Source organism: Homo sapiens, chromosome 3 (genome assembly GCF_000001405.40).
Source record: "Homo sapiens chromosome 3, GRCh38.p14 Primary Assembly".
Classification (NCBI taxonomy): Eukaryota; Metazoa; Chordata; class Mammalia; order Primates; family Hominidae; genus Homo; species Homo sapiens.
The window spans coordinates 12249207-12276093 of record NC_000003.12 but is presented as its reverse complement, the minus strand read 5'-3'; the positions used below and the strand labels follow the sequence as shown (position 1 = coordinate 12276093).

Below are 26887 nucleotides of genomic sequence, written 5' to 3'. Positions count from 1 at the left end.
TTTGTTGCCCAGACTGGAGTACACAGCTCACTGCAACCTCAAACTTCCAGACTCAAGTGATCCTCCTGCCTCAGCCTCCTGAGTAACTGGGACTACAGATGCGTGCCACCATGCCCAGCTGATTAAAAAAAAATGTAGATAGTGTGTCTTGCTATGTTGCCCAGGCTGGTCTTAAACTCCTGGCCTCAAGTGATCCTCTCTCCTGGGCCTCCCAAAGTGCTGGGATTACAGGAATGGGCCACCTCACCAGGCCAAGTGATCATTTAAGATGATCATTTTAATGGAGTTTTGGGACTATTTTTGGAGAGCTGGTAAATACATATACTTCTTCAGGTCTACTCTCTTGAATTAGAAGTCAAACACTTCATTTTACTCTCATACTATAATGAATATACTATAATGGATTATTTTCCAGAATGGAACACCGTTTGGCACTCTCTTAGTAAATTGGGTTGGAAATTATCCGGTTAATGTTAAAAAGTACATTTTTAGTTTAAGTGTGTGTTCTATAGTCCCTTTAATTTTGCTTTTTGTGTTTTAAGAGGATTCAGCATATTGTTCAACTTTACCTTATGATCCCTGAATATGTTTTTATGGTTGATATCACTAAAGTGCCACCACTACAAAGGGGATTTCCTGATACTTACTGGTTCTAACAATGCAACTTTTTCTGACAGCATTCTTGTATAGATTTCAAAAGAGCTCAAATAATAGTATTTTCTATACTAAATTTAATCAGTGACTCAACACACATTTATTGAATTACTATTATGTTTAAAATACCACTCTATTCCAAACAGGAAGAACTCCTCAAATCCCAGCACTTTACATACAAAGTGCTTGTGTGCCTGATACATGGTAGGTACTCAGTGAATATTTATAAATGGATCAATGCATAAAGAACAATCTTGTTAATTTGTGGTGCCTAAAGATTAGACACTGTCTAATAACCACAGAATTTAATAGGCCCTTTATTCAATTGGCATTCTAGAAGGGAAACTATCTGATGTAAAAAATGTGATATAGGCTGGGTGCAGTGGCTCACACCTGATACCCCAGTACTTTGGGAGGCCGAGGCAGGTGGATCATGAGGTCAAGAGATCGAGACCATCCTGGCCAACATGGTGAAACCCCGTTTCTACTAAAAATACAAAAATTAGCTGGGCATGGTGACGCGTGCCTATAGTCCCAGCTACTCGGCAGGCTGAGGCAGGAGAATCGCTTGAACCCAGGAGGCGGAGGTTGCAGTGAGCCGAGATCAAGTAACTGCACTCCAGCCTGGTGACAGAGCAAGACCCTGTCACAAAAACAAACAAACAAACAAAAAACTGATATAATTTGGACTATTTCTAAGATAAATCTAAGAATTCTGGCAAACTAAAAACTTTCAATGTTAACTATTTGTAGTGTTTTAAACTGATAATTTTTTTCAGCAATTTTTTGCTACTTTGTCAATTTGTTTATGAGAGAAGTATCAGTTCTTAAACTGATAACTTTCAAGATCACTTAAAAGTGTTTCCACTTAAAAAGCAATAATCAGCCGGAAAATGGCATGAACCTGGGAGGCAGAGCTTGCAGTGAACCGAGATTTCACCACTGCACTCCAGCCTGGGTGACAGAGCGAGACTCCGTCTCGAAAAAGAAAAAGAAAAAATCAATAATCAGCGGTTCTCATATCCATGTCAAACACTTAGTGTTTTGTTATTGTTATTATTTTGTTTATTTGTTTGTTTCTAATCCCAGAAAGGTGGGATCTAGGATTCCTGGACTAATTAGAACTACCTAGTTGAGTCCATGAATCTGAAATTTAAGATGCATCAGGGTGATAGTTTACGATTTTTTTTTTTCTTTTGAGACGGAGTCTTGCCCTTTTGCTCAGGCTGGAGTGCAGTGGCATGATCTCGGCTCACTGCAGCATCTGCCTTCCAAGGTTCAAGCGATTCTCCTGCCTCAGCCTCCCTAGTAGCTGGGATTACAGGTGCCCACCACCATACCTGGCTAATTTTTGTATTTTTAGTAGAGATGGGGTTTCACCATGTTGGCCAGGCTGGTCTCGAACTCCTGACCTCAGGTGATCCACCCTCCTCAGCCTCCCAAAGTGCTGGGATTACAGGTGTGAGCCACCATGCTTGGCCTAAGTTTTAATTTTAACTACATAAATTTTCGTAAACAATTTTTTCCTTGTAAACAACTAAAAGTTTTCCAAAAAAGCCATGATATTTTCATTCCCAATTCCATCTCTTGTTCTTTGACTCAAGGGCTTTTCACATACGTTAAAATTTGAGAACCACCATACGTTAAAATTTGAGAACCACTGCTGTAATGGGAAGGTCAGAATGAGTAAACTGAAAAATTTTGTTAGAGCTCAAAATATAAGGCTAGTTTTTTTTTAATGTTGTTCTTTATCATGCAAATTAGAGTCTAAATCCCACACTCTAAGACAGAGAAAAATTGCATTTTCAAGTATTTGAGAGCCATCATTTAAGATGATATCTTACCAAAAGAATCTCTTCCTTCTCACGAAAAAAAAAAGTTTAATTCCAATTACTGTCAGTAAGAAATGCAAGCAATGGAAATAGTAAACATATTCAGCATGTGGGGAAACAGTTGGTATTCAGTAAACAGCAAGCAATTTATTGACTTGGCAATCTCCCTCGAACTCCAGTACACAGTTAACTCTTAATGATGTAGGAACAGATTTACTATTTTGTAAATTCTTTAGAATGTTATTGAACTATCTGTCCCTCATCTTGCTAAATTCTAGGCTGACATCAGTATGCCTGAGATAGCAGTGGAGTTAATCAAGCTTGAAGGGTGAGCTAAGTACAGGTTCACTTTCAAATCCTCATTAAGCACATCCTCTTTGCCCTGCACTGTGTTAGGGTGAAAGACAAAAGACCCTGCTTTTAGGGAGCTCATAGTCCAGTAGAGGAGGCAGAAAAGTTAAAAAAAAAAAAGATTACAATGCAGAAAGTGCAATAAACATGGCAATAATGTGGTGCCATAGAGGTACATAGGAAGGGGAGAAACCTAACCCAGGTTGCTTAATGGGAAGGCTTCCCAAATAAGAAATACCTGAGGTTAATCTTGAAGGATGAGTGGGATGTAGCCATACAGAAATACTTGGGGTCCAAGGGTGGTGGATCACGCCTGTAATCCCAACACTTTGGGAAGCAAGAGAATGGCTTGAGCCCAGGAGTTCGAGACCAGCCACAACAACATAGTGAGACCTTGTCTCTACAAAAAATTTAAAAAGTTAGCTGGGTGTTGTGGTATGCACCTGTAGTCCCAGCTACTTGGGAGACTGAGGCAGGAGGATCACTTGAGCCCTAGTGGTTGAGGCTGCAGTGAGCTGTGATCACACCACTGCACTCCAGCCTGGGCAACAGAGTGAGACTCTTTTTTTTTTTTTTTTTTAAACAACCTAGAAGGTAGAGTCCAAGGCCTTTTAAAAAACAAACAAACAAACAAACAAACAAAATCATTTGCACTAGACAGCCTAAGTTGACCTCAGGTTTCCGATGTGAGCAATTGGGCTCAATTTGAGACATGTGAAGTTTTTGGTGTTTGTGGGGAAGAGCCAGGTGAAGATGTCCACAGACCATGGTTATCCATGCTTGTTACTTCGGGAAGGGGTCTGGGATGGACATGCAATGTGGGGACATCATTGTCTGCCTAGCGATGGAAGCCATTGATGGGAAAGAGATCTCCAGGAAGGGCAAGCTGGGGTGGCCTCTGTGGGGAACATGAGCTTTTAAGGGGTAGTGGAATCTGAGAAGGATCAGCTAGAAGGGCAGAAAAAAGAAAAATGAGAACGACCTGGGAGGATGAAGGTCAAAGGAAAAGAGCAGACAACACTGTCATACTGCACAGAGAAGTCCAAGAAGAAAGGCCTGGGAACTTTGACGAGAACCAAGGCAGCAGCAGAAGCCACGCCAGTCAGAAACATTTATTAAGCACCTACTGTGAATGTACCAGGCACTGTAAACTGCTGTGCTATTTAATTTTCACTATGGTCCTTTGAGGGAAGGCATTATTAATATTAATATTATCATTCTTAGATTACAGATGAGTAAATTGAGGCACAGAAGATCCTGACCAGAGTCGTACAACTAGTTTGCAACAGCGCTGATTGTGACTCAGCTTAGCCTAACTTGTGAGTCCGGCTCTCAGTCATGTGCTGGTTACCGACAGTGGTGAGAAAGCACAGAGAGTGAGTGAGTGTCCCCTGCTCTTTAGAAACTTTGTCAGTGGAGGCCGGGCGCGGTGGCGCATGATTACAATCCAAGCACTTTGGGAGGCCGAGGCGGGCAGATCACGAGGTCAGGAGATCGAGACCATCCTGGCTAACACAGTGAAACCCCATCTTGACTAAAAATACAAAAAATTAGCCGGTCATGGTGGCGGGCGCCTGTAGTCCCAGCTACTCGGGAGGCTGAGGCAGGAGAACGGCGTGTACCTGGGAGGCAGAGCTTGCAGTGAGCCGAGATTGCGCCACCGCACTCCAGCCTGGGCGACAGAGCGAGACTCCGTCTCCAAAAAAAAAAAAAGAAATAAGATGACAGAGGCTTGCCCATGATAAGGAAAGATAGCCAGGGAAAAAAGAAAAAGTCTTCAGAATGAAGGGACTGATGCCTGTCTAGCCATACTTCCACTTCTGGGGCTGGATCACAAGAGATCTGAAAAAAAACCTGCCGGTGTAAACAACTGAAGCTGTTTGGTACTGCTTAAGTGTGTTTTAGGAAAGAAATCACCTGCAAAAAATGTCCATCTCACCTTTTCTCATTTAGGAATTCATTAATACAATGAACATCATTCATAATGAAGTAGACTGAATTTCTTGTGTAACCACAATCCGGAACTACATTTGCCACATCCAACCAGGCCCTACCTATATCTAGGTTCAGGGCAAATGGTAGCAGCTGGGGGAGGGGCTCCACGTACACTTTTCCTTCCTGTGTTCACACTGTAAAATCCAATACCTTCTTTCTTTCCATCGGTTGCTGTTCTCAGTAGAGCACCGAGACCTCTTTTTTTTTTTTTTTTAATAGAAAAAAATGATGCCCATTGCAGAGCTCTTGGCCGGTCCTGCAGCAGAACTAGAAGTTACTAGTTCCTGTTCTCCCGATCTTATTTTTGAAAACTATGTGCCAAGTGTGGTTAAACTTTATTTAAACTGAACTTCTAATAACATACTAGGAAAGAAAATTAATCCCAGTTTTTGTTTGTAACTTTATTATAAGGACTTACAATGAAATTCATACCCAGAGCTCTTTGTAGATTCCTCTACAAGATAATGGCTTTGCTGGTCTGTGGAGCAGTGGCTCCTAAATCACACTCTAGGTAATTATTTTAAAGGTTCAAGAAAGACATGCGCTACTGGGGACCTACTGAGCCAAGGCACTAATGCTAGGGCTGTGGGGAAAGTGCAAAGTGCAAAGCAGACATCTTTTCTGGGAGCACTCAACTTTCTTAGAGATGGGGACCACTATTCATAGTAGTGAAGCACCAATATAAGTAGTAAAAGAATGTTTATTTCTTTCATTTAAAAGCAATGATATCAGTAATGCATGAATATATTCTTGCAGAAAGGAATATAGAAATCTCTAGAATAAATTGTTCAGGTTCCCCCTCACAACTTCCCCACTTCCACTTCCCTTCCCAAATTGAGGTGTTTCTTGCTAGTCTCTTTTCTATGCATTTCCACACAAACAGAAGCAAATATGTATACTTCTACACATATGTAATTTAACATATGTACTTTTATTATTGTTCAGCATAAATTGTTCAAAATACATTTTTTCTGCAAACTTTTTCCTTAAGAAGGTCTATTCATGTCAGAACATATAGATGTACTCTTTTTAAAGTCAGTGTAGTATTACTATAGAATAAATTAATAAATGTACTAAAACATTAGAATGTATCCCACACATGAGAGTGAAACAAAAACTACTAAACTCTAAAACATTTGATTGGCAGACACTAGTGATTAATTCCATGTTGAATTCCATGTTGAATTCCATGTTGAATTCCATGTTGAATTACTTGTTTGAGTAGACTTAGCCTCATGGAAATTTTCTCCACTTTAATCTTTTAAAAACATAGATTTAATATTAATACATTATTTTGACATATAAAAGCCCTTACATAAATGTTTTGCTTAAAACCAAGCATCTTAAAAGGGATACTTAAGTGGAAAATACTGGAATGCTACCTAGTTAGCATATATGATTGAATGCTATGGATCCCACAAGGCAGGACTAGAATGAAATAAAAGAAAAAGATTCTTAAATATCTCAGGAAAATGGGAATTCTTGTGGTACCTAAGGACAATGGGAGTTCTTTGAAAAATGTGAGTTCTGGCTGGGTGCAGTGGTTCACGCCTGTAATCCCAGCACTTTAGGAGGCCAAGACAGGTGTATCACCTGAGGTCAGGAGTTCGAGACCAACCTGACCAACATGGTGAAACCCCGTCTTTACTAAAAATACAAAAATTAGCCAGGCGTAGTGGCAGGCGCCTGTAATCCCAGGTACTCAGGAGGCTGAGGCAGGAGAATCACTTGAACCTGGCAGGTAGAGGTTGCAGTGAGCCGAAATGGTGCCATTGCACTCCAGCCCAGGCGACAGAGCAACTCTGTCTCAAAAAAAAAAAAAAAAGAAAAGAAAAGAAAAGAAAGTCAGTTCTTTTCTGATCATTGTTAAACTGATAACTAAAATCTAAAAACAAAACAAAACAAAAAACAAAAACAAAAAAACCCCACTATCTACTTCTTGTTTAAAGATATATTTGGCGAGGTGCAGTGGCTCAAGCCTGTAATCCCAGCACTTTAGGAGGCTGAGGCGGGCAGATCACCTGAGGTCGGGAGTTTGAGACCAGCCTGACCAACATGGAGAAACCCCGTCTCTACTAAAAATACAAAAAAAATTAACAGGGCATGGTGGCTCATGACTGTAATCCCAGCTACTCGGGAGGCTGAGGCAGTACAATCACTTGAACGTGGGAGGCAGAAGTCGCAGTGAGCCAAAGCCGAGGCAGGTGGATCATGAGGTCAAGAGATTGAGACCATCCTGGCCAACATGGTGAAACCCCATCTCTACTAAAAATACAAAAATTAGCTGGGCATGGTGGTGCATGCCTGTAGTCCCAGCTACTCGAGAGGCTGAGGTAGGAGAATCACTTGAACCCGGGAGGCAGAGTTTGCAGTGAGCTGAGATCACACTACTGCACTCCAGCCCGGGCAACAGAGCGAGACTCCGTCTCAAAAAAAAAAAAAAAAAAGATATATTTGTACATGCACATGTATGGAGGAAAGCCATAAGTTTATGTTTTAACAGTGGTTATCTCCGGGTGATGGTGCATATTCAAGTGATTCTTTATTCTTTATCTTTTTCTGAACTTTCCAATTTTAAAAATAATGAATATATATTAGTTTTCTTAATTAGAGAAAAATGAAATAAAAGGAATTAATAATGAATGGAATGAGGATGTGTCTTGGCTTGAGAACAGAAACTCTGCCTTCTTTATCTTTAGGTTTCCCCACATTACTTTTACTTAAGTGTAACATATACAATTATAACCTTGGGTCAAACAAACTTAAAAATAGGCTTGTAATGTATAAATAAACACAACATCTAAAGCAGTTTTTATTCTAGTACTACTAGGCCAGCACACAAAATACACCTTTATTTACTAATGTGACATCTCTTCTGTTAAATAATTAATTTTTTAAATTTATAATTTCACAAAATTTAGTTTTTAAAAAAGCTTATTCTTGTCATTTCCAAAAAAAGAGAGGGGAAAGGAGAGAGGAAGCTGTGCATAGTGGGAAAGTTGCAACATTCGGTCCGTAAGTAGTTTTTGCTTTAGATATTTTTTTCAACGACTTCTCTTACATAAGAGTCCTGTGATATCTCCATAGGGAGAAATAACCCTCAGCTACATTATGTCTTTTTAATTTTTCCTCCAGATAGTGTTTACAAATCAACATGTAGGAATGACTCCATATTTAAAGTTATTAGCCAACTTTAGTGTCTATTTGCCATTAAGGACAATTGGTAATTTTAACAATCAATGAGAGTTTATTTTAGGAGAAAACTTACTGAAATTTTCAGGAAATAACCTTTTTGTTCCAAAACAGCTGTCATTGAACACCATTATATCTACAACAATTAAAATTATCTTTGGTGACTTTTAGCATCTGGCATTGCTCCATTATTGTTCAGTTAAATATTTTTCAAGTTTGCTAGGACTTTTGCCCACCGTGTGCTTACGGCTCTTTATTGTCAATATGTATCTTAGAATTCACCTTTGTGACATTAGTTTTTTTGTATTGTGGGAGAGTGCATAATTTCTATAGTGAATTGCCTGAGAAATGAAGTAATATTTATTAGGAAATTGCAGTACATATCTACAAGTTACCTACAAACATACAATTATAATTTATTCTGTTATATTTAACAACAAATGTTCCCTTCTCTCTTTTACTAGATCCTTGCGAAAAAAAATTCCTAAAGAATTAGCTAATGTGCAGTGGCCAAAAAACAAACAAACAGCAAAGAGCAACATGTCATTTTGATCAATTTAACTGAAAAATATGAAGGACATTTCCAGGTTGAATTCACCCAGACCATTAGTGCAGGGAATTGATTGTTAAAAACAAAACCAAAGAAAAACAAAAACATACTATTTTGTATCCCAATGGAAGTCATAAATATGTTAGTTAAAAACTCATCCAAAATGAGTCCTGTGTGTTAGAAAAAAAATAACAAACTGTAATACCTCACCCAATTTAAATCTTAATTAAGACTTCATGTTTGTTTCATTTTGAGACAAAGTGAATGCTTATCTTTGGAAATGACTAAGTAAGCATTGAAATATAATAGCTTCAGGATCCTAAATGCATCATATGTAAAAGAACAATACTTTTATAATATCTCAGGCCTTGATCACTATTATTGAGTTAGTATATTTTGAGGGAAAAAATTTACGTGCCATGATTTTATTCCAACCAAAAAGATATTTGGAAAATATTTAAGAATTATTGCTGATTATTGAAATCTAAAACACTAATACCAGTGAATATTTTGTATACCCTAATACTTCTCTGAACACTTACAAGCCAATAATTAACCATTCAGACTGAAAAAAAAAAAAACTGGAAAGGATTTATAAGGACGAATAGGGTGAAATTTATTTATGTAACTTAAAAAATCTGCACAAACCCAAAGCAATTTGAGCTCTGTGCTATGGATTTGGGGGACTGTCAATGTGCACCGGTTGTCAGACTGCCTCTCTTGGATCCTCTTCTCTCCTCTATGCCACAACTGATATTTCTGTTCCTGGAATGTCCCCCATCCCCACAAGTTCACATAATCAAATCCTGGACTATTTTTGATGAGAAACAGTAGCTAACAAAATTGTTTGCCCACCCTAGGCAGTTGAAAATGGAGGACGTGCAAAATATTATTTAAAAAGCAGGTTGCAAAACTAACTTTCAAAAAAGTTAAAATTGACTAAAAACTCGAAGACAGATTACTCTGAATCATTAAAAAGGTCTTATCTCTGGGGGACAGAGTACTGGTGATTTTTCTTTTCTTGCTATTTTCTGCATTTTTCAGAGATTTATATATTACATTAGTAGTTATCAAAATAGTAAAAGTCAAATATGGGGAAAAGTATCTCATGGGTCATGAAAATGTAAATAAAATATGCAAAACACTGAATTGTTTCAAATAATTGTTTAAAAACTACTGTGGTAAAAGAATCCAGGCCTCCAAGCTCTTCCTCTCATTTGCGGAACATAAAGTATATTTTGGATCAACACATGGAACATTCCAGACAATGTGAAATCTAGAAAGGAACTGCACCTGTATCCCGACACGGCGCCAAAACAACGTAGCTACTGAATAAATATTCATCCTAAATTGGGAAAAGGAATGAAAGTCCATTTTCCACTTACTCCTATGCAGAAAAGTGAAAGTTTTATTCTTGGAATGAATATGATAGAATTTGTGGGACAGTAACTATTATTAAGAAGTAACTATTACTTTCCAGAGTTGGACTCCACTGAGCAGTTTTAAGAGGAAGAGAAGGCATTGCAGAGTATGAGCGAGCGCTATAACTGAAAACTTGATGGTATTGAATTAAACTCTGGCTATTTACTTTGTGAGTTTTGAGAATCACTTGATTAATTTTTTTTTCAGATGATTACTTGTACCAAACAGAGAAAGAACATGGTGTATTTAAGGATTTGTTTACCTAAACTGATGTGCTTGGTGGGGAGGAATTTAGCTTCAGCAGAATTTTCTGTAAGAAGAGTAACATTTACATAATGGCAATGCTAAAAAAGTCATCTTTTTCAGAGAAAAATGTGAAGCAATGTGTGTGGAAAGCTGCAAAATCTGGAGTTGCAGGCAGATTAGGCAAGGAGCACTTGGTGAAAAAAAAAAGAAGAATTAAATCATGGCTAAAGATTTCTTTCCAGCAAAAGTAGTTAATATGTGGAACAAACTGTTAACATGGCTTTTAAAAAATAATCAGAAGCTGTGAAAGAATTCTGACAGGGGAGATGAGAGACACGAGTTAAATGGGGAAGTAGAGAATAGAAGCATGAGTATGTGATGGCACATGCGACTTTGCCATTTAATTTTATTATCTTTGCAGAAGACCTTAGATCAATGAGGAAAGTGGATCGAAGACAGAACAAGCTAAAATTGAGCTCTCTAGATGGAATCTTTTGCTTATGTTTTTTTCTTTTTATTTTTTCCCCACTGTGTTTGTTTCTGGGGATTATATTCTATAGCAGAAAGACTCCCCCCAGATACTCTACAGTTTACCAAAAAAAAGAAATTGAAAAGCATACTATGTGAAACTATTGTCAGACATAGATAGAAAAGAGACCAAAAATAAATCTTCACCTTTGCGTCTTCAATTTCAACAGATGCGTTGTATGTTCCTTTAAAATCTGATGCTTTGGCTACACTCAGGCCTTTTTGCAGTAACCTTAGCAGATGCTTAAAGAACCCAAATTGCTGAAGCCAGTTCCAGTCTAATAAAATGGTCTGTATTTCTTTCTTCAATGAACCTTCTTCTTCTTTTTTTTTTTTTTGAGACGGAGTCTCACTCTGTTGCTCAGGCTGGAGTGCAATGGCTTGATCTCAGCTCACTGCAACCTCCGCCTCCCGGGTTCAAGCAATTCTCCTGCCTCAGCCTCCCAAGTAGCTGGGATTATGGGATTACAGGCACACAGCACCAGGCCCAGCTAATTTTTGTATTTTTTTTTTTTTTAGTAGAGATGGGGTTTCTCCATGTTGGCCAGGCTGGTCTTGAACCCCTGACCTCAGGTGATCCGCCCACCTCTGCCTCCCAAAGTGCTAGGATTACAGGCATGAGCCACCACACCCAGCCTGAATCTTCTTTTTAATCTTACAGTTTCTCCATTTATCAGAATGTGCAACTGCTCTTGAATTCACTCCCTTCTACTTAAATGTTGGATCCCACAATCCATATGCAAAAAATGGATTGTGTGATCCAACATTTCAGTAGAAAATCTATATCTCAAGCATTGTGCTAGATACTAGAGATACAACACTGGATAATTTGGAAAGTTTCCCATTCTGCGTACACCAAGTTCTTCCCCCGCCCCCCGCCCCACAAAATTGTGTAAAGGTTCTAACAGTCTCTACAGTGGTATCAAAAATAATTTCTCCCTTCTAATTTGGAAAACATGAACATTAGCCATTATTTGTTTCTCAGTAATTTTCCATATGCCAGTCATCCTATCTTGGAACTCCTCCTCCATCTCAGACCAAACCTCTCTCCTGCTGCATGACTTTTCCCATGTGACCCTTTAAATAAATTCTAAGATTTTTCCCATAATTAATTAATCTCAGAAATCAAAATGAAACATGTCACCAGGGCCTTATTTAAAGCCAAGAAATCTGTTGGCTATTATCCAGCCTTCTTTCTAAATTAAACAACCCCAAATACTATTCTCACCATCCTTATTTGTTAATATTAGGCATTTTCTCCTCAGAGAACGAGGGCCTATACAACAAAGACTTTTGATATGTGCACACCTTAACAAGAAGCACACTTATATTTCATTTCAATGATATATAAGGACGTTTTCCTTTAAAATTTCCACATCCATGTGCTTTAAAAAGACTCACATAGTAGAAATGAAATTTCCTGAGTAAAATACTACCATTTTTCATTTTCTGAATGATCCAAAGTATAACAGCTCAAAATCTTTTCTCAAAGTCTGACTCTTTGGGCCTAGTAACAATTTAACATACAACTAAATCTTTATGATTTACTGATGGGTTACTTGAATTATACTTTATCTTTGGTGACTCAGCTCTTCCCCACCTTTGCCACTTTGCCAAGTTCAAGGATGCTGGGAAAGGAAACAGAACTGAGTCAGGGTCAAACATGTAGAGTCTAATCATGGGGTGTGTGTGTGAGAGAGAGAGAGAGAGAGAGAGAGAGAGAGAGAGAGAGAATTTGTTTAATTCCCAAGCCAAACTCAAGACGGTCCATTGTAGTGCTGGAGGAGATGGTTACCCCATTCTCCATGATGTTTTTATGTCACAGGGCCATGCCTGTATCAAACATCTCATGTGTGCCATAAATATATGCACCTACTGTGTACCCACAAAAATTAAAAATAAAATAAAGAAAGCTGGAAGGCACATTAAAAAAAGACTGTTATTTTTTAAAGTCTCTCCCGTTGAGTTAGATAAATTGTTACACATAACTAAAGAGAAAGCTGGACACTTTCTTCCTGCCTTCCTTTTCCCCTTTTCCCTCCCTCACTCCTTCCTTTCTTCATTTCTAATATTCTCATTTCAGCTTAAAGCAAAAGGTTCTTTAGCAGCAGGGTAGGTAGGATACCCTACATCTAACCCTCAGCTTGATTTCTTCTAGTCCTTAGGGTGACATTGACCTGGCTCTGAGGACCAGTGCACCCCAACTGCTCCGATGTGCTCTCTCGGCTTGTTGAGACCACAGCCTCTGCACAGCAGTTCACCCCAGAGCCTCCTGTGCCTGGCTGCCTTTGTCCTTCTCTCTCCTCTGTTCGCTCCCCACTCATTCCCGTCTGCCTTTCTCTGTCTCTGTCTCATGCCTCCCTGCATCTCCACATCTGCTGTTCTTCTCTGCTTCTCTTTCATTCACTAACATTTTCTCCTTTTTTCTCACTGAAACCTCGAAACTATAATAGAAAACATTTTTATTCTTGAATTTAAATAGAAAAGGTGATTTGATAAATTAATTTCTTTAAAGATATCATTGTTGCAACTTCTAATTTTTTTTCCAACAAGTTGGTGACCTTTGACGGAAACACAGCAGCATCACTGCAGCTTACAGAATTACTGCTTAGCAAATGCATGAGACATTCAGAGGGACTTCTGATCAGTTTTCTAAGTTTCTTATGATTATCTTTTTTTTTTTGAGGCAAGGTCTCACTCTGTCACCCAAGCTGGAGTGCAGTGGCTCACTGCAGCCTCTGCCTCCCGGGTTCAGGTGATCCTCCCACCTCAGCTTCCCAAGTAGCTGGGACTTCAGGTATGTGCCACCACACACGGCTAATTTTTGTATTTTATTTATTTATTTATTTTGTATTTTTTGTAGAGATGAGGTTTCACCATGTTGCCCAGGCTGGTCGTGAACTCCTGGACTTAAGCCATCCGCCCTCCTTGGCGTCTCAAAGTGCTGGGATTACAGGTGTGAGCCACCACGCCCTGCCTCATGATTATCTTAGAAAGAAAACATAATAAACATTGAAATGCATAATGATCATTTGTATTTTTGTTTGAGACGGAGTCTCACTCTGTCCCAGGCTAGAGTGCAGTGGCACAATCTCGGCTCACTGCAGCCTCTGCCTCCTGGGTTCAAGTGATTCTCGTAACTCAGGTTCCTCAGTAGCTGGGATTACAGCTGCCCACCACCATGCCCAGCTAATTTTTGTATTTTTAGTAGAGATGGGGTTTTGCCATGCTGGCCAGGTTGGCCTCGAACTCCTGACCTCAAATGATCTGCCTGCCTCGGCCTCCCAAAGTGTTGGGATTATAGGCCTGAGCCACCGCACGACACCTGAAATGCATAATGCTCTTTCAGCAGGGTTGCCAACTTTAGCAAATAAAAATACAGGATGCCTAGTTAAATTTGAATTTTGGATAAACAAATCATTGTTTAGTGTACATCCCATGCCATATTTGAGACAAATTTATACTAAAAAAAGTACTTGCTGTTTATCTGCAATTCAAATTTAACCAGGCACTGTGTATTTTGTAATTGACTATATTCATAATATTTGTGTGTGTATATATACATGTGCGATATTTGTGAGCTGGGTGTTTTTTTTTTTTTTTTTTTGAGACGGAGTCTAGCTGTGTCACCCAGGCTGGAGGGCAGTGGCATGATCTCGGCTCACTGCAAGCTCCGCCTCGCAGGTTCACGCCATTCTCCTGCCTCAGCCTCCCGAGTAGCTGGGACTACAGGCTCCCGCCACCACGCCCGGCTAATTTTTTTGTATTTTTAGTAGAGACGGCGTTTCACCGTGTTAACCAGGATGGTCTCGATCTCCTGACCTCGTGATCTGCCCGCCTCGGCCTCCCAAAGTGCTGGGATTATAGGCGTGAGCCACCGTGCCCGGCCGAGCTGGGTGTTTTTAATTTGGGGACTAACTATTTACAGTTTCCTTGCTATTTCTCCTCCCTTATGCAGTATATAAAGTATTCCCTTTACATTTTAGCCCTTGGGTGTACATACTTTATTCCACTTCCTTCCAACTTTATCTTAAAAGTAGATGGCTTAAGAGAAAAAGGTACCTATGTATTCAATTCTCTATCACCTCCCTCTGAAAAAAGTGTTTACTTAATAAACATCAGGCAAGGGCAGCACTTCTGAACCTCTTTTAAAACAGTCAGCTTTATGGTTGCACTAAGTAGATTTTTTCTTAACGTCTCTCATTTTAAAACAAAATGTCTGAAATGATGAATAACTATAGGAATGGTAGCTAACATGTATTGAGCGCTTACTGTCAGGCACTGTTCAACATTATATAATGGCTTAAATCACTTACACCCCACAAACCACTGATGTGGGTACCATTAATACCCCTACTTCGGAGACGAGGAAAGAGACACAAAGAAGTTAGGCAAATCCCAGTTTCCCGTTATTAATATTTCACATTCGTATGATACGTTTGCCACAATTAATGGGCCCATGTTGTCATAGATTATTATTAGAGCCCATGTTTCATTCAGATGTCCCCAGTATTTCCCTCGCGTCCTGTTTCTGTCCCAGGATCCCATCCAGGGTGCCGCGTTTCACTTAGCCATCCTGTCGCCTTGGACTCCTCTTGGTTGTGAGTTTCTTAGGCTTTCTTGGTTCTTGACGACCTTGACAGTTTTGCAGAGGACTGGTTGGGTATGTTATAGAAAGTCCTTCAGTTGGGGTTTGTCTGGTGTCTCTCACGGTTCGACTGGGGTTGTGGGTTTGCGGGAGGGAGACCACAGAGTTAAGCACTGTCCTCATCACATCATGTCAACCTTGACCACCTGGCTGAGGGGGTGTTTGTCAGCTTTCTCCATGATAAAGTTATTATTATTTTCCCCCCCTTTCCATACTGTACTCTTTGAAAGGAAGTGATATTCCTAACCCACACCTGAGTGAGGAATTATGATTGAGCTATTTTTTAAACATCAGCTTTACTGAGACACAATGCACATGTTATATAATGCACCTGTTTAAAGTGTGCAATTCTGTGGCTTTCAGTATATTCAGAACTGTGCAAGCACCACCAGGATCTATTTTAAAACATTTTCATCACCCCAAAAAGAAACCCCATACCCATTAACAGTCATTCCCCTTTTCCCTCCCCTCCTTGCCTCCCCCAGCCCATGGCTACCACGAATCTACTTTCTCTCTCTACAGATTTGCCTATTCTGGACATCTCACACCAAAGGAATCATACAGTATGTGGTGTTTTGCGACTGGCTTCTCTCACTTAGCACAATGTTTTTGAGGCTCATCCATGTTGTAATATGTTTTAGTATTTCATTCTTTTTTATTGCTGGGTAATATTTTATTGTATGGATAGACCACATTGTGCTTGCTGATACATCCATTGCTGGACATTTGGGTTGTGTCCACTTTTTGGCTTCTGTGAATAAGATTGGTAGGCACATTCAGGTACAAGTTTTTACATGGACATGTTTGTATTTCTCTTGGCTAAACACCTAGAAGTAGAATTACTGGATATACTTGAGCTATTATTAAAAATAATAAAAAACGGCCGGGCGTGGTGGCTCATGCCTGTAATCCTAGCACTTTGGGAGGCTGAGGTGGGTGGATCACTTGAGGCCAGGAGTTTGAGAACAGCCTGCCCAACATGGTGACACCCCATCTCTACTAAAAATATGAAAATAATTAGTCAGGTGTGGGAGCGGGCACCTGTAATCCCAGCTACTTAGGAGGCTGAGGCAGGAGAATAGCTTGAACCCGGGAGGTGGAGGCTGCAATGGGCCGAGATCGCGCCAGTGCACTCCAGCCTGGGCAAAGAGAGTGAAACTCTGTGTCAAAAAACCGAACACCAAAAACCAAAACATAGCTGACTAGGCTGTGGGCTGTCCCTGCTTCAGTTCTCCACACTGGCTAGGAAAATTTAGCTGATTGTCCTATAAAACCATAAAAGTCCCCTCTAATCTGTGGGCAAGTACCTAAACTGCAAGCATGTTGACTAAGATGAAAGAAAACAGCTTCTAAAAGCTTGTCTACACATCCCATCCTGTAAGCCTAAGGTGAACAACATAGCTTATCTGTACTGAAAAAAATACAGATCCCATATATTACTAGTTTCTGTTAAAAAGTTATGATAGGAAAGTTGTCTGTCCTAAGTCTAGATGTTCTTCAAGGTGCAAAGAGTAAGTTGTTTGTACCACATTTTCTTTATCTATTCCTCCACAGACAGACACTTAGGTCAGTCTTGGCTCCATATCTTGGCTATTATGACTGATGCTGCAATGAACATGAGAGTGCAGATAGGACTTCAACCTACTAATTTCATTCTGTTGTATATGTACCCAGCAGTGGGATGGCTGGATCACACAGTAGTTCCATTTTTAATTTTTTAAGGAATCATAATACTATTTTCCATAATGGGTATACCAATTTCCATTGCCACCAACAGTGTACAATGGTTCCCTTTTCTCCACCCCTTTGCCAATACTTGTTATCTCTTGTCTTTTTGATAATAGCCAGTCTCACAGATGTGGTACATACATACATACATACAATGGAAAGTTATTCAGCCATAAAAAGCAAGGAAACCCTGCCATTTGGAACAACATGGATGAACCTGGAGGACATTATGCTGAGTGAAATAAGCTAGGCACAGAAGGACAAACATTGTATGATCTCATTTGTACATTGATATGATTTGGATTTGTGTCCCTGCCCAAATCTCACGTTGAATTGTAATCCCCAGTGTTGGCAGAGGGGACTGGCAGGAGATGATTGATCATGGGGGCGGATTTCCCCCTTGCTGTTCTCGTGATAGTGAGTGAGTTCTCACGAGATCTGGTTGTTTAAAAGTGTGTAGCACCGGTCTGCAGAATCTGCACCAACCAGCACCATGCCCATCACACTGGGGTACGGGGACATCCACGGGCTGGCACATGCCATCCACCTGCTCCTTGAATACACAGACTCAAGCTACGAGGAAAAGAAGTACACAATGGGGGACTCTCCTGACTATGACAGAAGCTAGTAGCTGAATTAAAAATTCAAGCTGGGCCTGGACTTTCCCAATCTGCCCTACTTGTTTGATGGGGCTCACAAGATCACCCAGAGCAACGCCATCCTGCGCCACATTTCCTGCAAGCACAGCCTGTGTGAGGAGACAGAAGAGGAGAAGATTCGTGTGGACATTTCGGAGAACCAGACCATGGACAACCTGATGCAGCTGGCCATGATCTGCTACATCCCAGAATTTGAGAAACTGAAGCCAAAGTACCTGGAGGAACTCCCTGAAAAGCTAAAGCTCTACTCACAGTTTCTGGGGAAGTGGCCATGGTTCGCATGAGACAAGATCACCTATGTGGATTTCCTTGCCTATGACATCCTTGACCTGAACTGTATATTTGACCCCAGCTGCCTGGACGCCTTCCCAAACCTGAAGGACTTCATGTCCTGAATTGAGGGTTTGAAGAAGATCTCTGCCTACATGAAGTCCAGCCAATGCCTCCAAGGTCCTTTGTTTGGGAAGTCAGCTATGTGGAACAGTAAATAGGGCCCCGTGATGCCAGAAGATGGGAGGGAGGAGCCGACCCTGCTGCCTGGGAGCCTGGAGAACACTGGAGAACAGCCCGACTCCCTGAACCAGACTTCTTCCTTTTTCCTTGTTTCCACTCTCTTCTTTTCCCCAAGGCCTCATTGGCTTCCTTTCTTCTAACATGATCCCTCCCCACATCGAGGATCTTTAAAGCTTCAGCTCCCCACTCTCCTCCATCAAAGTCCCCCTCCTAACATCTCCCTTTTCCTGCACTAACACCAACCTGACTGCTTTCCCTATCAGTGCTTATCTCTTCTTTGAGAAGCTGGACTGATCCCTGAGCTCCCCAGCACTGTCCTCAAAGACCATCTGCGGGCCCTGCTCCCTTTGCTGGGTCCCTACTCCAGCCCTGTGTGATGCCCAGTAAAGCCTGAACCATGAAAAAAAAAAAAAGTATGTAGTACCTCCCCCTTCACTCTCTTCCTCCTGCCCTGGCCATGTGAAGACGTGCTGTTTCCCCTTCACCTTCTGCCATGATTGTAAATTTTCTAACGCCTCCCCAGCCATGCTTCCTGTAGAGCAAGCTTGTCCAACCCATGGCCCACAGGCTGCATGTGGCCCAGAATGGCTTTGAATGTGGCCCAACACAAATTCGTAAACTTTCTTAAAATATTATGAGATTTTGAACTCAAGATGGATCAAGGACTTAAATCTAATATGTAAAACTATAAAAACTCTAAAAGATAACGTTGGAAAAACCCTCTTAGACATTGGCTTAGGCAAAGACTTCATAACCAAGAACCCAAAAGCAAATGCAACAAAAACAAAGAAAAATAGATGGAACTTAATTAAACTAAAAAGATTCTGCACAGCAAAAGAAACAATCAACAGAATAAATAGACAACCCACAGAGTGGGAGAAAATCTTTGCAATCTATACATCTGATAGAGAACTAATATCCAGAATCTACAAGGAGCTCAAACATATCAGCAAGAAAAAACAAAAACAAAAACAAAAAAAATCCCATCAAAAAGTGGGCTAGGCTGGGTGTGGTGGCTCACGCCTGTAATCCCAGCACTTTGGGAGGCCGAGGCGGGTGGATCACAAGGTCAGGAGATTGAGACCATCCTGGCTAACATGGTGAAACCCCGTCTCTACTAAAAATACAAAAAGTTAGCCAGGCGTAGTGGCACACGCCTGTAGTCCAGGCTACTCAGGAGGCTGAGGCAGGAGAATCATTTGAACCCAGGAGGCGGAGGTTGCAGTGAGCCGAGATCGTGCCACTGCACTCCAGCCTGGGAGACAGAGCGAGACTCTGTCTCAAGAAAAAAAAAAAAAGTAGGCTAAGGACATGAATAGACAATTCTCAAAGGAAGATACACAAATGGCCAAAAAACATGAAAAATTGCTCAACATCACTAACTGTCAGGGAAATGCAAATAAAAACCACAATGTGATACCATCTTACTCCAGCAAGAACAACGAGTGGATAAAGATAAATAAATTATGGTATATATATATATATATATATATATATATACACACACACACACACACACACACACACACACACATACACACACACACCATGGAATACTACTCAGCCATAAAAAGGAATGAAATAAGGGCATTCGCAGCAACCCGGATGGAATTGGAGACCATTATTCTAAGTAAAGTAACTCAGGAATGGAAAAACAAATATCCTGTGTTCTCACTTATGAGAGCTAAGCTATGAGGATGCAAAGGCATAAGAATGATACAGTGGACTTTGGGGACTGGGGGGAAAGGGCGTGAGGGATAAAAGACTACACATCGGGTACAGTGTACCTGCTCAGATAATGGGTGCACCAAAATCTCAGAAATCACCACTGAAGAATGTATTCTTGTAACCAAACACCACCTGTTCCCCAAAAACCTATTGGAAAAAAAAGAAAATTAATCGAGCAGTACAGTGATATGTATATGTTCAGTAAAGTATTGCATGTTTAACAGCTGTTCTAAAAAACAAATACTATGCGTTCAGGCATGGCACAAGTTATTGTGAATGGCTCCAACAAATAGTGTGTGTGATGAAAATAAAGTCATAAACCAAAGCCATGCTATAAAGCCTTATATACCGAATTGAGGAGTTTGAACTGTATTCTCAGAGCTAGGAGACTACGCACATAACCTGAGTGTGTGATGGAGCTGAGAGGTGTTTCAGAATGTGGCCTCTAGCATTTGGCACCTGGCTTCATGATGTAGTTACTGTGTGTGAACTTTGATCTCTGCAGCTGCAAAATACACTAATACTTGTGTTTGCCTTTTAAGGATATTTTGAGAATTAAGATAATACACACACACACACACACACACACACACACAAAGTATTAGGAGATATTTTTGCAATTTTTTTTTTTTTTTTTAGCTCATCAGCTATTGTTAGTTAGTGTTAGTGTATTTTATGTGTGGCCCAAGACAATTCTTTTTCCAATGTGGACCAGGGAAGCCAAACGATTGGACACCCCTGCTGTAGAGCCTGCGGAATCATGAGCCAATGAAACCTCTTTTCTTTATAAATTACACAGTTTTAGGTATTTCTTTATAGCAGTGCAAGAATGGACTCATACATACATGAAATCTGAAAAAGGCTCAACTCATAGGAGCAGAAGGTAGAACAGTGGTTGCCAGGGGCAGGGGTATGGGAACTGGAGAGATGTTGATCAAAGTACAAACTTTCAGTGCTAAAATGAACAAGTTCTGGGGATCCACCGTGCAGGATGGGTGGTGATGGATGTATTCATTAATTTGATTGTGGTAATCATTATACAGTGTGTATGTGTATCAAATCATCAAGTTGGACACGCTGAATATATTCAATCTTTATTTGACAAGTAAAACTTTTTAAAATGAAGAGTAGTTTCTGCCTAAGTCTTCTTGTTGAAACTCCTCTAAGGCTGCCACTATTGCTATTGGAACTAAGTATTATCTACAAGGAAAATAGGAGCTAGAAAAAGGCACAGTAGCTACCACTTTCCAAAGCAAGGGATGCATGTGCCATTTTAAGGAAGCATTAGGTAAAAGGAAAATGTAAATGATTTCACAGCTTTATGCACCAACACTTCTACACTGGAGAAGTGGGAGGGACAGGAACAAATAATGAATCTATAAGTCTGGAATACCACCCCTTCCCATTAGCTGCTCATGGTAGGAAGTAGTTCAGCTAATCAGCAAGATTAAAAAATCAAAAAATATTTGATCATTTTCCTATCCTTGGTGAAATGAAATTAAGCCTGAGCAATTTGCAATAGGTAGCATTTTAATTGTTCCCTTAAAAATGAACAGTTAACGGTACTCTTATAGAATTGCCTTTTTCCATATCTATTGTTCCTTTGAAATATGATCACCAAAATTAAGCAGCACATTTTTAGGGATAGTATTTTAGCAGAGAATAAGAAAGGTGGAAATAAGTCTGTTTGTGATGCCTCATAAGACACCAGAAGACAGTGGTCAACATAAACTCCTCACCTCTTCTCTTTCTTTTGTTCCTTTTTCCTTCCTGAAGGATCTATTATAGGGCCCCTCACACAACCGGAATAAAATAGCTGTTGGCTGATTGCTAACTGATTTACTTCTGTCTCCACTTACAGAATTTTGCTGACACTTGATAGAAAAGATGCTTATTAAGCAATCTATTGAAATGCAAGTCATGGTCTGGTCATTGTATCTAAGGTACAGCATAGCGTTAGGGTATTGTACAAAAGAAAGTGACAGGAAATTGCTTCTTTAAAGAATGCAGTCATGGGTGTACACTAAAATAAAGTCCTTAAACATGGTAGCGGTGGCTAGACTAGCGTGTGGTTTGAAAGGAGGAATCTCTGGCTGCTATTCAGAAGGCAACATCTGAGGAAACAGCCAAAGGAGAAAAACTACCTAAGGAAGAGGGAGGAAATCTCTTTTCCTGGGGACATTTACAAGCTGACTAGACTCAACTCAGCCTGGAATGATGTAGATCAGAGGTAGTGTGCGGGGAATGCGTCTCAGGCAGGTTGAGATAGTGATCATTTTAGCCCTAAGGGAAGCTAGCCAGGACTGGGGCCCATAGAGAACCAAGGCTGATCATTTGTGTCCACGGGGCCTCTTGTATTTACCCCTGTGTGTCATAAAGATATCACTTCTGTCAACCCTATGATGTGAAACAGCTTGAGAAGCTCGTGTGTAGAGGAAGCTTGACAGAGGCTGACCGAGGTGATTACTCAGCAAGGGTTAACGATAAAACAAACTCTCCCTCACTCCTTCTCATGAAGATAAACTATGGTACAATAATTGCAATTCATTTTTTATTTAGCTTTAGAATTTGATTTTGGTTTTAGATTAAAATATGGGCATTGGTAATATCTTCAGGGAGTGGGAACCAAAGGGCTTTAGTCTAGCATTAGAGGACTCAGCACCAGGTTGTTCTAGCACCTAATTCAATGTGTTTCTTGGTTACTCGATTCTCATAACTGGGGTTCCACCTTATTCCCCTCTGCCTGACATCCTGTCTTCATGTTTTGCCTTGTACCCCAGAACCCCTGGAACTGAGGCCCTTCTCTTGTTCTTACAAGTCTTTTCTCCAAAGGAATGAACTTCTCCTGAAATCAAGCCCAGAGCATTCCAGGAAGAAAAAACAACATCTGTAGAGATGCTGAGACAAGAACAAACATGGCGTGTGCGGGGAGCTTGCAAGTCGTTCAGCATGACTTAAGTGAAATGGAAAGTTCTGAGAAGAGTAAGCTGTCGAACTAGAAAGGTAAGCAGCAAACATATTATGAAAGGCCTGACCTGTCATCTTAAGGATGACATAAGGTCCTAATGCCCTCATCCTGCTGAGGACATACTGTGGATACATAGATATTATGTATAGCATATGTAAACGTAATACACACTTTAACATACTTTATTATAAAATAATGCACTTTATTATAAAATAACATACTTTATTATAAAATACTGCATGCTTATTATAAAACACTTGGAAAATGTGAAGAAATTTTTTTTTTTTTTTTTTTTTTTTTTTGAGATAGAGTCTCACTCTTTTGCCCAGGCCGGAATGCAGTGGCGCTATCTCAGCTCACTGCAAGCTCCGCCTCCTGGGTTCACGCCATTCTCCTGTCTCAGCCTCCCAAGTAGCTGGGACTACAGGCGCCTGCCACCGTGCCCAGCTAATTTTTTGTATTTTTAGTAGAGACGGGGTTTCACCGTGTTAGCCAGGATGGTCTCGATCTCCTGAACTCGTGATCCGCCCGCCTCGGCCTCCCAAAGTGTTGGGATTACAGGCGTGAGCCACCGCGCCTGGCCGAGAAATTTTAAGAAAAATAAAAATATCATGTATCATTCCATTAGCAAGATAGTATCATTGATGATATTTTGGTGTATTTCTTTCCAGATTTATTTTATGCACATGACATATCATGATTGAACTTATGTAGAGTGGTCTGCTTCTATCACTTAACAGTACATCTTCTACTTTTCCCACGTTGCTAAAATTCTTCCAAAACACAATTTTAATGTTATATGACATTTCATCTTAAGTAGTGCAATTGATTTAGACATTCCCTTAGTATTTGAAAACAGGTTGTTTTAAATTTTTTTCTTCTTATGAATAACAGTGCAATAAGTGCTCCTGTACATAATGCTTATATTCTTCACTGATTATTACCTTGGATGGTTTCCTTGCAGTAGAATGTCTGGGTCAAAAAGCAAAAACCTCAAAGTTTTCTTTCCAAGAATTTTCAAATTATATTCCATCAGGGTTGTGTCCACGTTTATTTGTGTCAGAGTATCTCGTTACACACTTCTCAACATTTAAAATTAAATTTTAAAAAAACTCTGCCAATTTGACAAGCAAATAATATCTAATTTTTTATTATTAATTGACAAATAATAATTGTAGATATTTATGGGGTACAATGTGATATTTTGATATGCATACATTGTAGAAAGATTAAATCAAGCTAATTAACATATCTATCACTTATCTTTTGTGTGTTTGTGGTGATAACATTTAAAATCTAATCTTTTAGCAATTTTGAAATATACAATATGTTATTATTAACTATGGCCACTATGCTGTAGAATAGATATCTAAAACTTATTCCCTGTTTGACTGAAACTTTGTACCATTTGACCAATGTCTAAACTTTCCCCATTCACCCCTCACCCCCAGTCCTGGTAATCCCTCTTTTTTTTATTATAGTTTAATTAATTTATTTAATCTAAGAACAAAATTGGACATAGGGTTAAGGCTTTGTGCAATACGTGAGAACAATGCAAAGAAGAATGGCTTTTATTCTTTGATGAGACTCCTTAAAAAGGTACAATTTCTAAATCCGTGACTCTATCATGGCAAAAACAACTTACTAGAAATGAAGTATTCACTCTAAACAGCGTCAAATAGTCAGTTAGATGAGATCTTTTTCAATGGGATTTCCTTTGTTATGTAAGCACAGCCTTATTTAATTTTACACATAGGTGAAACAAAATTTCTATTTATTTATTTTAAAGTATTTTCAACTTTTATTTTAGATTCATTGGGTACATGTGCAGGTTTGTTACCTTGGTATATTGCGTGATGCTGAGGTTTGGGGTAAAAATAATCCCCTCACCGAGGTACTAGGCATAGTACCCAATGGTTCACTTTTCCACTCCTAGCTCCCTCTCTCCCCCTAGCAGTCTCCAGTGTCTATTGTTGCCATCTTTATGGCCGTGAGTACCCAATAGTTAGGTCCCACTTATAAGTGAGAACATGTGGTATTTGGTCTTCTGTTCCTGTGTTATTTTGCTTAGGATAATGGCCTCTTGCTGCATCCATGCTGCTGCAAAGCACACGATTTTTTTGTGTGTGTGTGTGGCTGTGTAGTATTCCATGGTGTATGTGACCACATTTTCTTTATCCAATCCACGGTTGAGGTAATCCACCATTCTACATTCTACTATTATGAGTTAGACTTTTTTAGATTCTACATATAAGTGTAATCATGCAGTATTTATCTTTCTGTGTCTGGCTTATTTCACTTAGCAAAATGTCCTCCAGGTTCATCCGAGTTTTTATACAGAATTTCCTTCTTTTTAAAGCCTGAATAGCATTCCACTGGGTATACATACCACGTTTTATTTATTCATTCATTTGCTGATGAACACTTACATTGATTCCATATCTTGGCTATTGTGAATAATGCTGCAAAAAACATAGGGGTATAGATACTTCTTTGAAATAATTATTTCAATCCCCTATACCCACAGTAGATTGCTGTTTCATATGGTAATTCAGTTTTTAATTTTCTGAGGAACCTCTATACTGTTTTTCTTATGGCTATACTAATTTACACTCCCACCAACAGTGTACCAGGGTTCCTATTTATCTATGTCCTCACCAACACTTACCGTTCTTTTTTTTTTGATAATAGCCATTTTAGCAGGTTTGAAGTCATAGCTCATTGTGGTTTTAATTTGCATTTCCCTAATGATTAGTGATGTTGAGCATTTTTTTATGAACCTGTTGGCCATTTGTGTGTCTTCTTTTGAGAAATGTCTGTTCAGGTGTTTCTCCCATTTTCAAATTGGGTTGTTTTCTAGCTATTGAGTTGTTTGAATTACTTATATATATTGGATATTAGCCCCTTATCAGATGTATAGTTTGCAAATATTTTATCCCATTCTGTGGACTGTCTTTTCACTCTGTTGTTTCTTTTGCTATGCAGGAACTTTTTAGTTTGGTGCAATCCCATCTGTCTATTTTTGCTTTTGTTGCCTGTAGTTTGGAATCCTACCCAAGAAATTGTTTTACCTCTGGGTTTTCTCCCAGTAGATTTACAGTTTCAGGTCTTACATTTAAGTCTTTAATCTATTTTGAATTGGTTTTTGTATATGGTGTGAGGTAAGGGCCCATTTTCATCCTTTTGTATGTGGATATCCAGTTTTCCAAACCCCGTTTACTGAAGAGACTGTCTTTTCCTCATTGTGTGTTCTTGGCATCTTTGTCAAAAACCGGTTGACCATATATGCATGCATTTATTTCTGGACTTTCTATTCTGTCCCATTGGTTTATGTATCTACTTTTATGCCATTACCATGCTGTTTTGATTACTATAGTTTTGTAACATATTTTTAAATAAGGTAAAGTGATGCCTTCAGATTTGTTCTTTTTGCTCAAGGTGGCTTTGGATATTAGGGGTCCTTTGCAGTTCCATACAAATTTTTGGATTGTTTTTCTATTTCTGTGAAAAATGACATTGGAATTTTGATAGAAATTGCATTGAATCTGCAGATTGCTTTGGGTAGTGTGGATATTTTAACAATATTAATTCTTCCAATTCACGAATACAGGGTATCACCTTATTTATTTGTCTCATCTTCAATTTCTTTCCTCAATGTTTTATAGTTTTTAGGGTACAGGTCTTTTGCCTCATTGATTAAATTTACTCCTAAGTATTTTATCCTATTTTAAAAATTTTCTTGTAAATAGGATTGTTTTCCTAGTTTTTTGAATAATTCATTTTTTTGTATATAAAAATATTACTGATTTTTGTATGTTGAGTTTACATCTTGCAATTTGCAGAATTCATCAGTTGTAACAGTTTTTTTTGTAG

The 26887-nt window shown here is 39.4% G+C and overlaps 1 pseudogene; it reads left to right on the top strand.

Moving 5' to 3' along the window:
* On the top strand, positions 17612–18718 carry GSTM5P1 (glutathione S-transferase mu 5 pseudogene 1; annotated as a pseudogene).